The sequence below is a fragment of the Homo sapiens genome, chromosome 8, assembly GCF_000001405.40.
Source record: "Homo sapiens chromosome 8, GRCh38.p14 Primary Assembly".
Classification (NCBI taxonomy): Eukaryota; Metazoa; Chordata; class Mammalia; order Primates; family Hominidae; genus Homo; species Homo sapiens.
Genome location: NC_000008.11, coordinates 98,038,375 through 98,050,944, shown reverse-complemented (window position 1 = coordinate 98,050,944; position 12,570 = coordinate 98,038,375). Strand labels below are relative to the sequence as shown.

At 42.3% G+C, this 12,570-nt stretch overlaps 1 protein-coding gene, 1 non-coding gene and 1 pseudogene across 2 annotated transcripts, besides 4 other annotated features; 2 read left to right on the top strand and 1 right to left on the bottom strand.

Moving 5' to 3' along the window:
- On the bottom strand, nt 1,983–2,089 carry RNU6-703P (RNA, U6 small nuclear 703, pseudogene; annotated as a pseudogene).
- Nucleotides 4,316–5,252: an enhancer, noted in NCBI's record as "NANOG-H3K27ac-H3K4me1 hESC enhancer chr8:99057921-99058857 (GRCh37/hg19 assembly coordinates)". NCBI's record gives its function as "activates a minimal SCP1, AML or CMV promoter by ChIP-STARR-seq in naive H9 embryonic stem cells {active_cell/tissue: H9 hESC(naive)}" and the evidence as "EXISTENCE:reporter gene assay evidence [ECO:0000049][PMID:30033119]".
- Nucleotides 5,019–5,068: an enhancer, noted in NCBI's record as "active region_27674". NCBI's record gives its function as "activates an Ori minimal core promoter by ATAC-STARR-seq in GM12878 lymphoblastoid cells {active_cell/tissue: GM12878}" and the evidence as "EXISTENCE:reporter gene assay evidence [ECO:0000049][PMID:35858748]".
- Nucleotides 5,089–5,148: an enhancer, noted in NCBI's record as "active region_27673". NCBI's record gives its function as "activates an Ori minimal core promoter by ATAC-STARR-seq in GM12878 lymphoblastoid cells {active_cell/tissue: GM12878}" and the evidence as "EXISTENCE:reporter gene assay evidence [ECO:0000049][PMID:35858748]".
- Nucleotides 5,319–5,468: an enhancer, noted in NCBI's record as "active region_27672". NCBI's record gives its function as "activates an Ori minimal core promoter by ATAC-STARR-seq in GM12878 lymphoblastoid cells {active_cell/tissue: GM12878}" and the evidence as "EXISTENCE:reporter gene assay evidence [ECO:0000049][PMID:35858748]".
- Nucleotides 5,400–9,224, top strand: RPL30 (ribosomal protein L30). Its single transcript, NM_000989.4, has 5 exons — nt 5,400–5,437; nt 5,546–5,598; nt 5,857–6,002; nt 8,170–8,300; nt 9,095–9,224. Exons 2-5 carry the CDS (start codon nt 5,578–5,580, stop codon nt 9,142–9,144), a joined length of 348 nt encoding a protein of 115 aa, NP_000980.1. The 5' UTR covers nt 5,400–5,437; nt 5,546–5,577; the 3' UTR covers nt 9,145–9,224.
- Nucleotides 8,728–8,859, top strand: SNORA72 (small nucleolar RNA, H/ACA box 72). The gene is given in 1 exon segment (NR_002581.1): nt 8,728–8,859. It is a non-coding gene; the product is annotated as a small nucleolar RNA, H/ACA box 72 (small nucleolar RNA).
- Nucleotides 9,225–12,570: the final 3,346 nt, after the last annotated feature.

The window sequence follows — 12,570 nt, the reverse complement described above, 5'->3', positions numbered from 1 at the left end:
TTAAACTCAGATTCCCAGGACCCACACCCAGAGATTTCTTCCATAGGCCTAGGTGGGGTCCAGGAGTTTGAATCATTGATTTTGATGCAGGTGATATGAGAGCCAGACTTTGAGAAGTACTACATTGAGGTGTAATTGATGTTTCATGAGACATTTATTGTAAAAGAACACTTTATTATTAATATTAAAAAGGAAGTTTTTATGTAACAATAATTAATGCTTACTGTAAAATAATTCAAGCAGTACTAAAAAAACCTAAAGAAAAAGTAAAGGTCCCTTCCTCATCGCTCACTCTTCTCATTTCTCTCTGTTTTGATATCTGACTTTTCCAGACTTTTTTCTATGCCTATACAAATATATAGTTTTCTAGACTTTTTTCTATGCCTATACAAATATATAGTCATTCATCACTTAATGACAAGGATTCATTCTGAAAACTACATTGTTAGGCGATTTCATTGTGTTTGAACATCAGAGTGTACTTGCACAAACCTAGATGGTATAGCCTACTACACACCTAGGCTATATGGTATAGCCTGTTGCTCCTAGGCTACAAATCTGTACAGCGTGTTACTGTGCCTGTAGACAACAGTAACACAGTGGTATTTGTGTATCTAAACACAGAAGAGGTACAGTAAAAATAATGTATTATAATCTTATGGGACCACTGTTGTATATGTGGTCCATGACTGTCCAAAACATTATGCAGTGCATGATTGTATATTAAGAATGATGAGCATTTGATGTTTCTAATTTTTTGCTGTTATAAATAATGCTGCCCAGGCACGGTGGCCCACGCCTGTAATCCCAGCAGTTTGGGAGGCCAAGGCGGGTGGATTGCTTGGGCCCAGAAAATTGAGACCAGCCTGGCCAACATGGCGAAACCCTGTCTCTACTAAAAATGCAAAAATTAGCTGGGCAGGAGAATCACTTGAACCCAGGAAGCGGAGGTTGCAGTGAGCCGAGATCATGCCACACCACTCCAGCCTGGGCAACAGGGGGAGATTCGGTCTCAAAAAATGAATAAATAAAGCTGAAATAAATACTCTTGTTCCCATGTCTTTCAGCAACTCTGTGACTGCTTCTGTAGGATAAATTCCTAAAAGTTGAATCACTGGGCCAAAAGACTCAAATAGCACAGAAGGGAATATAATTAAAAAGTGCTTCTCTACCTCCTTCCAACCTCCAATCCCATTTTCCTGAGGAAGCCACTGTCATCTTGTATATCCTCATATGAAATGCTTATATAGGTATGTTCTTTCTGTTTTGACACACTGTCAATCTGTCCTTCGAGAGCGCCTTTTTCTTAACCTATTTTATACCTAACTTTAATTTTCCTGGTGGCTATTTAATTTTTTTTTTTTTTTTTGAGATGGAGTCTTGCTCTGTTGCCCAGGCTGGAGTGCAAGTGGTGCGACCTCGGCTCAATGAGAGATCCGCCTTCCGGGTTCACACCATTCTCCTGCCTCAGCCTCCCAAGTTGCTGGGACTACAGGCACCCGCCACCACGCCTGGCTAATTTTTTTGTATTTTTAGTAGAGACGGGGTTTCACCATGTTAGCCAGGATGTTCTTGATCTCCTGGCCTCGTGATCCGCCTGTCTCGTCCTCCCAAAGTGCTGGGATTACAGGCGTGAGCCACCGTGCCTGGCCGTGGTGGCTATTTTAGAGCCTTCACTGTTTTCAGGTCCCAATGGCATCACTGATCAACATACCTCTTCCATTCAGAGAGCTTCTCCCAAAGGCTATTCAGTAATGGACAAGGAATCTCCAGGGATTTAAATAAATTTCTGGGAAAAGGTTAGAAAAGGCAGCAAAATTTGAGCATAAAATTTCTTATAATTCCACTCTAAAGCAAACTTACACTTGTAACATTTAAAGCTTTAACATTCCACTTTTCTTTTGTATTGTTTTTTTCTCCTTCCTTCTCATGAATGCTATATTCCAGCCAAATTGTAACCACTCTTGTCTCGTTTTAGCTTTTTTTTTTTTTTTTTTTCCACGAATTTGTGTGTCATCACTGCACAGGGGTCATGCTAACTTCTCTGCATCGTTCTAATTTTCAGTATACGTGCTGCTGAAGCGAGCACCTTTTAGCTTTGCTTCTGCTCTTGACTAGAATGCATCCCCTCCTTGATTTCAGTTAATCCTGCAAAGTGCTTGACTTCAAATCTCAGCTTACCTGTCTAACCTTTACTAAATAATATAACAACTTTTGGCTCTAATCTTAGCCCTTGTAAAATAAGGATAACAATGCCTATGAGGTTATTGTAACCATGAGTTAAGGTTTGTGAAAAGTACATGAAAGTCTATACAAAACTAATTATTCCTATATTAGTCTTCTTTAAGGCCTAGCTAGATAGTAGGCTCTTTAAGAACAGTCACCATGTCTTTGTATATTCTTAGTGCCTGGAGTGAGGATGAATTCATCATATATATTTGTTAAATAAACACATTATGCTATTTGCTTATACCTTCCTTCAGACAATAGACAGCAAGATTTCTGAAGGAATCTTATATGACCAGGGGCTTAAGGTACGTGATGGCACATGGTACTGTTTGTGGAATGAATGAACATTTAACATCTGTTAACGACGACTTCATATGGCAGTTAAGAGTTGTACTAATTGTCTTTATAGGTCTTGCCTTCTCAACATGACTATTAGCCTCCTGAAGGTAGGGTGTAGTTCTTTGCATATCAAGTGTCTAAGAAAAATGTTTGATGATAATGGAAAAAAAAGATTCATGTCTGAATGTCTAATGTGAATGGCAGACTCTAAACATTTCCAAATGGTACGTGGGGTGAATTGTAATAGAAAATGCTGTTGAGGATTCAACTTTTTTTTTTTTTGAAACAGAGTCTCGCTCTGTCACCCAGGTTGGAGGCAGTGGCGCGATCTCGGCTCATTGCAAGCTCTGGGCCCGGGTTCACGCCATTCTCTCGCCTCAGCCTCCCGAGTAGCTGGGACTACAGGCGCCCGCCACCACGCCCAGCTAATTTTTTTGTATTTTTAGCGGAGATGGGGTTTCACCGTGTTAGCCAGGATGGTCTCGATCTCCTGACCTCGTGATCCGCCCGCCTCGGCCTCCCAAAGTGCTGGGATTACAGGCGTAAGCCACCGCGCCCGGCCTGAGGATTCAACTTTTATAATAGGATGACAACCACAAATGAAATGTGGATCAGGAAAAAAAAATAACACAGGATTAAAAGGCTGACTGGTGTTTCAACCTTTACTCTATCAGGTAGCAGCACCACAACTTCTCCAGGTCTCAGTTTCTTGAAGTCAGAGAACTAGTTATCTGTTAGTTCTAAAATTAGTAAAAAACAAAAAGAGTTTGTTTATACAACTAGAGTAATAGAGGAAGGCAGATATCTGGATTTGCAGTGTTAAGTAATTTATGACTAAATATTAAAGCAAGTACTATGATAATCTAATTCAACTTGGTTAATTTCTCATCAAAGAGGGGCACACACTTGAATGAATGTTATTTTTATTTTATTATTTTAAAATATATTTTATTATTAATTATAATAATTAATATAATAATAATTAAAGTATAATAGTAATTATACTATTTTTTGAGACAGAGTCTCGCTCTGTCACCAGGCTGGAGTGCAGTGACGTGATCTCTGCTCACTGCAACCTCCACCTCCTGGGTTCAAGTGATTCTCCTGCCTCACCCTCCCAAGTAGCTGGGACTACAGGCACGCGCCACCAAGCCCAGCTAAGTTTTGTATTTTTAGTAGACACAGGGTTTCACCATGTTGGCCAAGATGGTCTCGATCTTTTGACCTCGTGATCCTCCCGCCTCGGCCTCCCAAAGTGTTGGGATTACAGGCGTGAGCCACCGCGCCCGGCCTTATTACTTTTTTTGAGAGGGAGTCTCGCTTTGTCGCCCAGGCTGGAGTGCAGTGGCCCGATCTCAGCTCACTGCTACCTTTGCCTCCCAGGTTCAAGCGATTCTCCTGCTTCAGCCTCCCAAGTAGTTGGGATTGCAGGCAGGAGCCACCACACCTGGCTACTTTTTGTATTTTTAGTAGAGGTGGGGTTTCACCATGTTGACCAGACTGGTCTCGAACTCCTGACTTCAGGTGATCCGCTCACCTCGGACTTCCAAAATGTTTGGATTACAGGCGTGAGTCACCGCATTCGGCCTGAATCAACTTTAATTGTGAAGAGACCTAAGTTACCTGGGCTCTGGTCCTAGCTCTGACAATAGGCCTAGATATGTAAAATGGACAATAAAAAGGTTACTATCTCATGGGACTTTTGTGAGTATTAAATAAATATATGTAAATGATTCCTGGTACAGCACGCGTTTTTTGGTGAGGCTTAATTAAGGAGGGGAAGAGGTTTCCCTCATATAGCTTATCCACTGGTCTGATTGATTAGGTGGGGATTTTCAGCGCCTAATATCTTCAGTGGTCTGTCTCTGGACATTTATACCAAGATCCAACGTTAACAGCAAAAATACTTTTAAAAAATTAGACCTGTTTATCGCGCTCTCAGTGCAAACTCGGCTCACAAGTTCACGCTAACACAGTCACAAAAGGCGAGTTTTGGGAAACTCGAGCAGGGCGCCACCGTTCTCCAGGGGACAGGTAACTTGGGTGACCGCAGGGGTGAGGACACAGCTGCTTCTACCAAGCGGAGAGTAAATGCGGGTGCTGCGGCGCATCGGAGTCACCCACAAGGCTCTCCAAGAGCCGCGCCTCAGGACAAAGATGAATTCAGCGGCATTGAGACCGTGGTCGCAGCCGCCGCAGCCTCTTCTCATCTACCCTCCCACCTCACCTTCAGTCGGCTTTTCGAACTCCCTCCGGGTTCTAAGCGCCTCGATTAGTTAGACCGCAGCTCGCAGCAGAACAGCAACACAACGCCGCGAAGCTTAAAGGCCCGCAGAGGGGGAAAAGAACACCCCCGCCGTCATTCTTTTTTTTCCTTCTTTGAGACAGAGTCTCACTCTGTCGCCCAGGCTGAGTGCAGTGGCGCGATCATGGCTCACTGCAGCCTCGACCTACCGAGCTCAAGCGACCTCTCCGCCTCAGCCTCCGGCGTAGCTGGGAGTAGCTAGGACTACTGGAGCGCGCCACCACGCCCGGCTAATTTCTTTTTTATTTCTTTTTTATTTTTTTGTAGAGACAGGGGTGGTCTATGTTGTCCAGGCTGGCCTTGAGCTGGACGCAACAGATCTTCCCGCCTCAACCTCCGAAAGTGCTGGGATTAAAGGTATGAGCAGCCGCGTACGGCCCCCGCAGCCATTCTAGCTAGCGGTACCAATAGCAACCGGCAGCTGCCCTCCGCTTTTGCTCCGCCCCTTCTGCTTGCGATCTGTTTCCGCTTCCGGTCCCGCAGTTCCGGCTCTGCCGTGAAGAGCTTTGCATTGTGGGAAGTCTTTCCTTTCTCGTTCCCCGGCCATCTTAGCGGCTGCTGTTGGTGAGTGGGCTCCTACCGACCGAGGTTTAGGCAGCGCGGGGAGCTTTGCGGGTTGCCATTTGTAACTCCGGATCCTAAAATTCCTGTCCTGTTCTCTGTCTCTTCTAGGTTGGGGGCCGTCCCGCTCCTAAGGCAGGAAGATGGTGGCCGCAAAGAAGACGGTGAGTGAGGCGGGCCAGGCCCGGAAGACGATTCACGTGGAGAGATGTCTTGGCCAGGGCGGGCAGATGTGAGCCCACGGGGGTGACAGCATGCCTGCTGGCATTTGGAGGGCCCCAGAAGGAATCCCAGTGGCCCTCTCAATGACTTGGGGTCCTCGACTTCGGAAGTTTAAGGGGCTCGGCTTCAAAAAGCTGGGTCCGGTTTTGAGGCGGTTGCAGGCGAGGCCCTTAGGTCCGTATTTAATGTTTGCTTTGTAGAAAAAGTCGCTGGAGTCGATCAACTCTAGGCTCCAACTCGTTATGAAAAGTGGGAAGTACGTCCTGGGGTACAAGCAGACTCTGAAGATGATCAGACAAGGCAAAGCGAAATTGGTCATTCTCGCTAACAACTGCCCAGCTTTGAGGTAATCGAAGAGACTGAACGGGCTTCGCCTACCGCGAATTCATCGTGAACGAATATACAGGAGTGTAAACTTGTAATCTGAGTACCATGAACTCGAACACTTGCAGGATAATTACGGTAGCGATTGTGGTGTTTGGCCCTTCATTCCCGTCTCCCCGACCCACCCCCAAATCGTGTGCTCCCCTTCTGTGAGCTTATTTTTGGAGGAGAAATGTGTGTGTGTGGCAGGAGTGAAAACAGAACATCGAGGTTTAATGGAAACACAGACACATTACTGTTTTTTCCATGTATTTTGTGTCCTGCTTTTTTGGTTCTTTTAGCTTTGAGGTGCTTTAATGATGCTTCATTGTGTGAACTTGTTTTAGTGTCAAAAAACTAGGTAAGAAAAGTTGAGGCTGGGCTATGGAGTTGCAGGCTATCATAGAATCACCTAGTTTAGCCCGCTAAATCAGTTCTGAGTCAAGATTTATGCTTGACTCACTGTTTTGAAATTGAACTTAGGGGGTGTTGTAAATAAGCCAAACAAACTTGGACCTTGCAGAGTATAAGCTATGTGAGCAAATTTTCTGTGGTGATGCATAAGCTGCTTACAGCATTTTATATAGGGTGTCTGTAGTTACCGTCAAAGCCTGGAGGGCCCTTTCTGTCTTGTCCCATGGGTTCGGCTTTTCCCTAACCATTCTTTGAAACTTTCTTTAAAGCCTGTCTTCTATAGTAGTGCTTCTGAAACATGACTGTGCAAAGGAGTCACATGGGTGATGTTAAAATGCAAGTTCTGATTTCATTGGATCTGGGATGGGGCCCGAGGTGCCATTTATTATTTTATTTTTTTTAAGACAGAGTTTTGCTCTTGTCACCCCGGCTGGAGTGCAATGGCACAATCTAAGCTCACTGCAACCTCTGCCTCCCAGGTTCAAGCAATTCTGCCTCACCCTCCCGAGTAGATGGGATTACAGGCACCTGCCACCATGCCTGGCTAATTTTTGTATTTTTAGTAGAGATGGGGTTTCGCCATGCTGGCCAGGCTGGTCTCGGACTCCTGACCTTAGGTGATCCACCCACCTCGGCCTCCCAAACTGCTGAGATTACAGGTGTGAGCTACCGTGCCCGGCTTGAGGTGTTTTTTTAACTAATACATTGTAGCACTATTGCTGGTATGTGGATTCACATAATTGAGTGGCAAGATAGTATAGGACTCCTTTCCGATTCCTAAAACCATTAGTATCTACTAATTTGACGCTGAAATTTTGTATTTTTAGTAGAGACAAGGTTTCACCATGTTGGCCAGGCTGGTCTGACGCTCCTGACTTCAAGTGATCCGGCCTCCCAAAGTGCTGGGATTACACGCGTGAGGCCAGAAATTTTAACTCTAAAACGGTATCACTTCCCATCTGGAATTCTGGGCACTGAGGGGATGGTGATAGAAATGGCTTATCTTTTAAAGGTTTAGATTCTGGATCCTCCACTTACTATTCTGTGGCTCAGTTTCATTAGATTAAAAAAAAAAAAAAAGAATAGGGCTGTGTGCCGTGGCTCACACCTGTAATCCCAGCACTTTGGGAGGCTGAGGCGGGCGGATCCCTTGAGGTCAGGAGTTCGAGACCAGCCTGGCCAACATGGTGAAACCCCATCTACCAAAAATATAAAAAATTAGCTGGGTGTGGTGGTGCACGCCTGTAATCCCAGCTACTTGAGAGGCTGAGGCAGGAGAATCACTTGAACTCGGGAGGTGGAAGTTGCAGTGAGCTGAGATCGTGCCACTGCACGATCCGCCTGAGCGACAGAATGAGATTCCATCTCAAAAAAAAAAGTACATAATACCTACTTTAGAGATTGTCATGGAAATATAAAGTATGTGGTCCTTACTAATGCTAGATAATGCTTTGCTTTCTTTTATTTGCATCTTACCCTCTTCCGTGAGTATTGATACTGTCTTAAACATAGTAGGGGTTGATTAGATATTTGCTGGTTGCCCCTTCACTTGCAAGGGATACATACAAATGTTGGTTTGTATTGGATAATGAATATGATGTTTTTAAGAGTAATATGTGATTTTGTTACTTTTTGAAGGCCTTAACAACATTAACACTAGTAAAAGAAGTAGTAACATTTAGTCTGTCAGTCACTTGGTATCGCATTTATTTATTTGCCCATTTTGGTTCCCAAAGGAAATCTGAAATAGAGTACTATGCTATGTTGGCTAAAACTGGTGTCCATCACTACAGTGGCAATAATATTGAACTGGGCACAGCATGCGGAAAATACTACAGAGTGTGCACACTGGCTATCATTGATCCAGGTATGCTTTTTAAATCATAAAGTCTTTTTTTTTTTTGCCTTTCTAATGTAATGTCTGGACAAGTATTTCTTACTACGCAAATGTCTTTGGTTCCTAAATTCAGATAGAATATGGATCTAGCAAGGCATATCGTGTAGTTGTATTTTGTAGAGAATTGGTAATGAATGCCAATACATTATAATTGGCTTTATTATAAGTTAAAATTTTTACTGTCAGATAATGAATTTCATTTGATGAAGTACCTATGAAATAATGACATAGATTTGGTAAAAGGTGAAATTATAAGGAGAGAATAATCTGGCAAAACAGAAGAAAGTAATTCTTGCTTCTTGAGAACAGACATGTAAAATTAGCTTGAGAAAAAAAAAAGTGCCAAAAAATCTACATCATTCTGTTTTCCAATTGTGAATCTTTGATTCATAGAATACTGCGAATATTCTCGCTGTTCTGATTTTGTAATAGTCAGGACAGGCTAAACATTCGCTATATTAAGACCATGCATGTGTCCCCAAACCTAGTTCTTTCCCTAGGTCTGGTTTTATAAATGCTGGTGATAAACCAATTTTATTATATGATCATTTTATGTGATTATATAATGGCTGTGATTCTAGGTTATCTTTGGTCAACCTTAAGAAAAATGACAGTACAGCTAATGTGATAACTTTTGCAAAAAGTCAGTGCTAATTTGCAGACCATTGTCTACAGAAGGGATAACCAAAGGTAGAGAAATTTTATGGTACCAGTTGCTATTAAATGAATTGTAAAATTACTGTTTTTTTATTTTTATTTTTTAGGTGACTCTGACATCATTAGAAGCATGCCAGAACAGACTGGTGAAAAGTAAACCTTTTCACCTACAAAATTTCACCTGCAAACCTTAAACCTGCAAAATTTTCCTTTAATAAAATTTGCTTGTTTTAAAAACATTGTATCTATTTCAGTATTTTTCTCTATTTTTGTTTCAATACAATTTCCTGAAGGTTGGATTAGAGAGGATGAGGCAGATGTGGTGGCAAGACTTTTCAGTAAAGAGTTACACATCCTGGGCCGGGCGTGGTGGCTCACGCCTGTAATTCCAGCCCTTTGGGAGGCCGAGGCGGGCGGATCATGAGGTCGGAAGATCGAGACCATCCTGGCTAACGCAGTGAAACCCCATCTCTACTAAAAGTACAAAAAAAATTAGCCGGGCGTGGTGGCGGGTTCCTGCAGTCCCAGCTACAGAGCTTGCAATGAGCCGAGATCGTGCCACTGCACTCCAGCCTGGGCGACAGAGCAAGACTCCATCTCAAAAAAAAAAAAAAAAAGTTACACATCCTGATTTCTGTTTTCCAGGGTTTTTTTGTTGTTGTTCTTTTTTTTTGGAGACAGTCTTGCTCTGTCGCCCAGCTTGGAGTGCAGTGGTGCAATCTTGGCTCACTGTAGCCTCCGCCTCCCAGGTTCAAGCGATTCTCCTGCCTCAGTCTCCTGAGTAACAGGGACTACAGGTGCGCACCACCACGCCTGGCTAATTTTTTTTTTTTTTTTTGTATTTTTAGTAGAGACGGAGTTTCACCATGTTGGCCAGGATGGTCACGATCTCCTGACCTCGTGATCCCCCGGCCTCAGCCTCTGAAAGTGCTGGGATTACAGGCGTGAGCCACTGCTCCTGGCCCAGTTTTTGTAAAGGGACTGCACTGGGTTCCTTTCTAGTACTAGATGTTTAGAAAGCTCAAGTTTTGTAATTCCATTCTCAGGACATTGTTTGCATTTTATATTCTAGTATGCTTAGGAGGTAACAAGGTTAAATACCCAGAATTGCAATTTACCAAATTTGAGTAGCTAAAAAAGATTAACTGAAATGTTTCCCCATCCAAAATGCTGTCATAGGTTAAGAAAAGTTTTACTTTAATGAATAATCTTTCCTAAGTTAAGTGGTTGGTGCACTTGGACGATTTCTGAGTAATCCCAGATCATCAATAGTTAAGTCCATGTTTGCCCAAGTATGTTTTATATCATACACCTAAAAGATGTACTGTGAAGTACGTTAAGTATTCACATTTTTGGAAACTATACTGCATCCCCCAAGAGTATGTCCCAGGGAATCCTTCATATGTTAATATCTTTTGGAACATTCGAAAGAATTAATTTGAGGGGAAATAATGATTTAGTTAGATACTAATTTACAGAGTTGAATGGTGCTAGTAAGGTATGCCCTATGTAGTCAGCTGGGCTTTGAGGGAGGGAGGCCACAGAAGTGTCAGAAAAGACAATGTCTTTTGGATTTTAGACTCAATCTCCTTGCTCCTTTTCTCCCTCCCCTCTTTCAGGCAAGTTTTGATGGTAGATGAGTGAGACAGTAAATGAGGATGCCTTCTAAATAGTATGCAGAAAATCAAGCATTTACTGCACTTGGAGTCAGAGGACCCCAGCTCTTAATAGCTATATAACAGCCCTGGGTGGGTCATGTTCCCAATTTGATAGTCGGGGGTTAGGAGTTTTTTTCAAGGGAATAGCTCATGATTTTAGTTTGTGTCCGAAGTTAATCTGAGGTTGTGGATATATTAATACTTTGGAGAGTCTGGTTTTTAATGGTTTTACCAGTTCATTTACTCAGTATTTCTCAATTTGGGAGCACTACTGACATTGTGTAATGGGACAGTTCTTTGTTGTGGAGGGCTGTGGATTCTGCAGGTATTTTTCATTCTTGGTTTTCCTTCCATGTCATTGTAATCACCCCCAAATGTCACCACATTTTTAAACTAGCTTCTCTCCTGGTTAAGAGTCACTGAATATATGAAAGATTTTAAGTGTTCTAAGGTGTTCATGTTTACATATCCAGAGACCCGTGTGGCCAAAGTGATATAAAATATTTGAATCTTTGATAAGAATTACTTGGTCTGACTACTGGTCTCTAATAGTGTTTGTTAGTTTGTTCCCATAGTTCAAAATGTTTCAATCTCATGGTTAAGGTAGTTTGCGTGCTTATCTACTTGCTCAGTTTTTCCCACAAGTCCCAAATAGTGACTTTTCACACTATTTGGGTTAGTTTTTCCTCCAGGTTGACTAGCTCGAGTTTAATTTCTCAGGGGGTGGTGACCTAAAGAATACAATATTGCAGATGTTGGTGTACCCTTTCTTTGCATGGTTTCTGTTGTGGTTTTTTGGCTGCAGGCATTTTGGAATGATGGTTTTTTAGAAAATTTATGATTTCTAGGGCTGTCTATGTAGTTGATAATATGCTACATTTGGTTTTTGCCTTTTCATTATATGTTCTTTTTGTGCAGTCACAACGATTCTTTCTTTCAGCAAGAAAGTTCAGAGAGACAAGAAGTTTAAAGCTAGTAGACAGGAAACATTCCTTACTCATTCTGGCCTATGTTACCTTTGATTAAGTGCTCTTAAACCGCTGTCAGAGAGAAAGTGACACTGGCCAGGAAGATCTGGGAAAGTGTAAGGTGACATTTAAAATGTTCTTTTCTGATTATAATGAAAGCAGTGTGTGGGTAGCTCTAATATTCAGGGGATTGTAGGAAATTGCAGCCAATTGGATTTACTCCATACCATACCTCTACTGAACTCTTAGATATGGAAATAGAAATCTCAAAGAAGAGGTTGGATATTGTAGAGTGTGTTAAGAATTGCGGTTGGTATGGGATGGTGGCAGGAACAAAAGGAATGTAGAGAAGAAACCAACTTTTAGGCTGATTATGAATATAACTATTAATAGTTGGGTCGTCTGGAAGATAATATTATAATCTGTGTCATGGAAAAGTTTTCCATCCCCTGTCTTCCAACTACCAACTACTCCTTAGACTTGCTGCTCCCTTCACCTGCAGTGGAATCTGGTTTCCTTCCCCCACTCCTCCCTTTTCTGGGCTTACCTGTGCTTGTTCTGAGGGTAAGCCTAGCACCCAGTCTAAAACAGGTGCTTCTGAGTTACCTTAGTACCTTTTTTTATGGCATTGATTACCTCTCTCTAAGGTGCTACAGGACAGGGACTCAAGGTATTCAACTTCGTGTCACTTATCAAAAATTAGAGTGGATAATGACTACTAGGGCTTAAACATTTACTTAATTCTCTTATTGATACACTTGGGACTTTCTAGTTCAGAATTTTGTTAATAGTAGTTCTTAAATTTCTTATGCATTTACCATTATTTAATTTACTACTGCCTGTTTGCTTCAAAAGATAGTTTAGGGGTGGGAATCTACCAGATTACTTTTCTCAGGTCAGCAAAGAATTTATTCTGTCTTTTCATTTACTCAACATACACTTAGCTCAGCACCATCT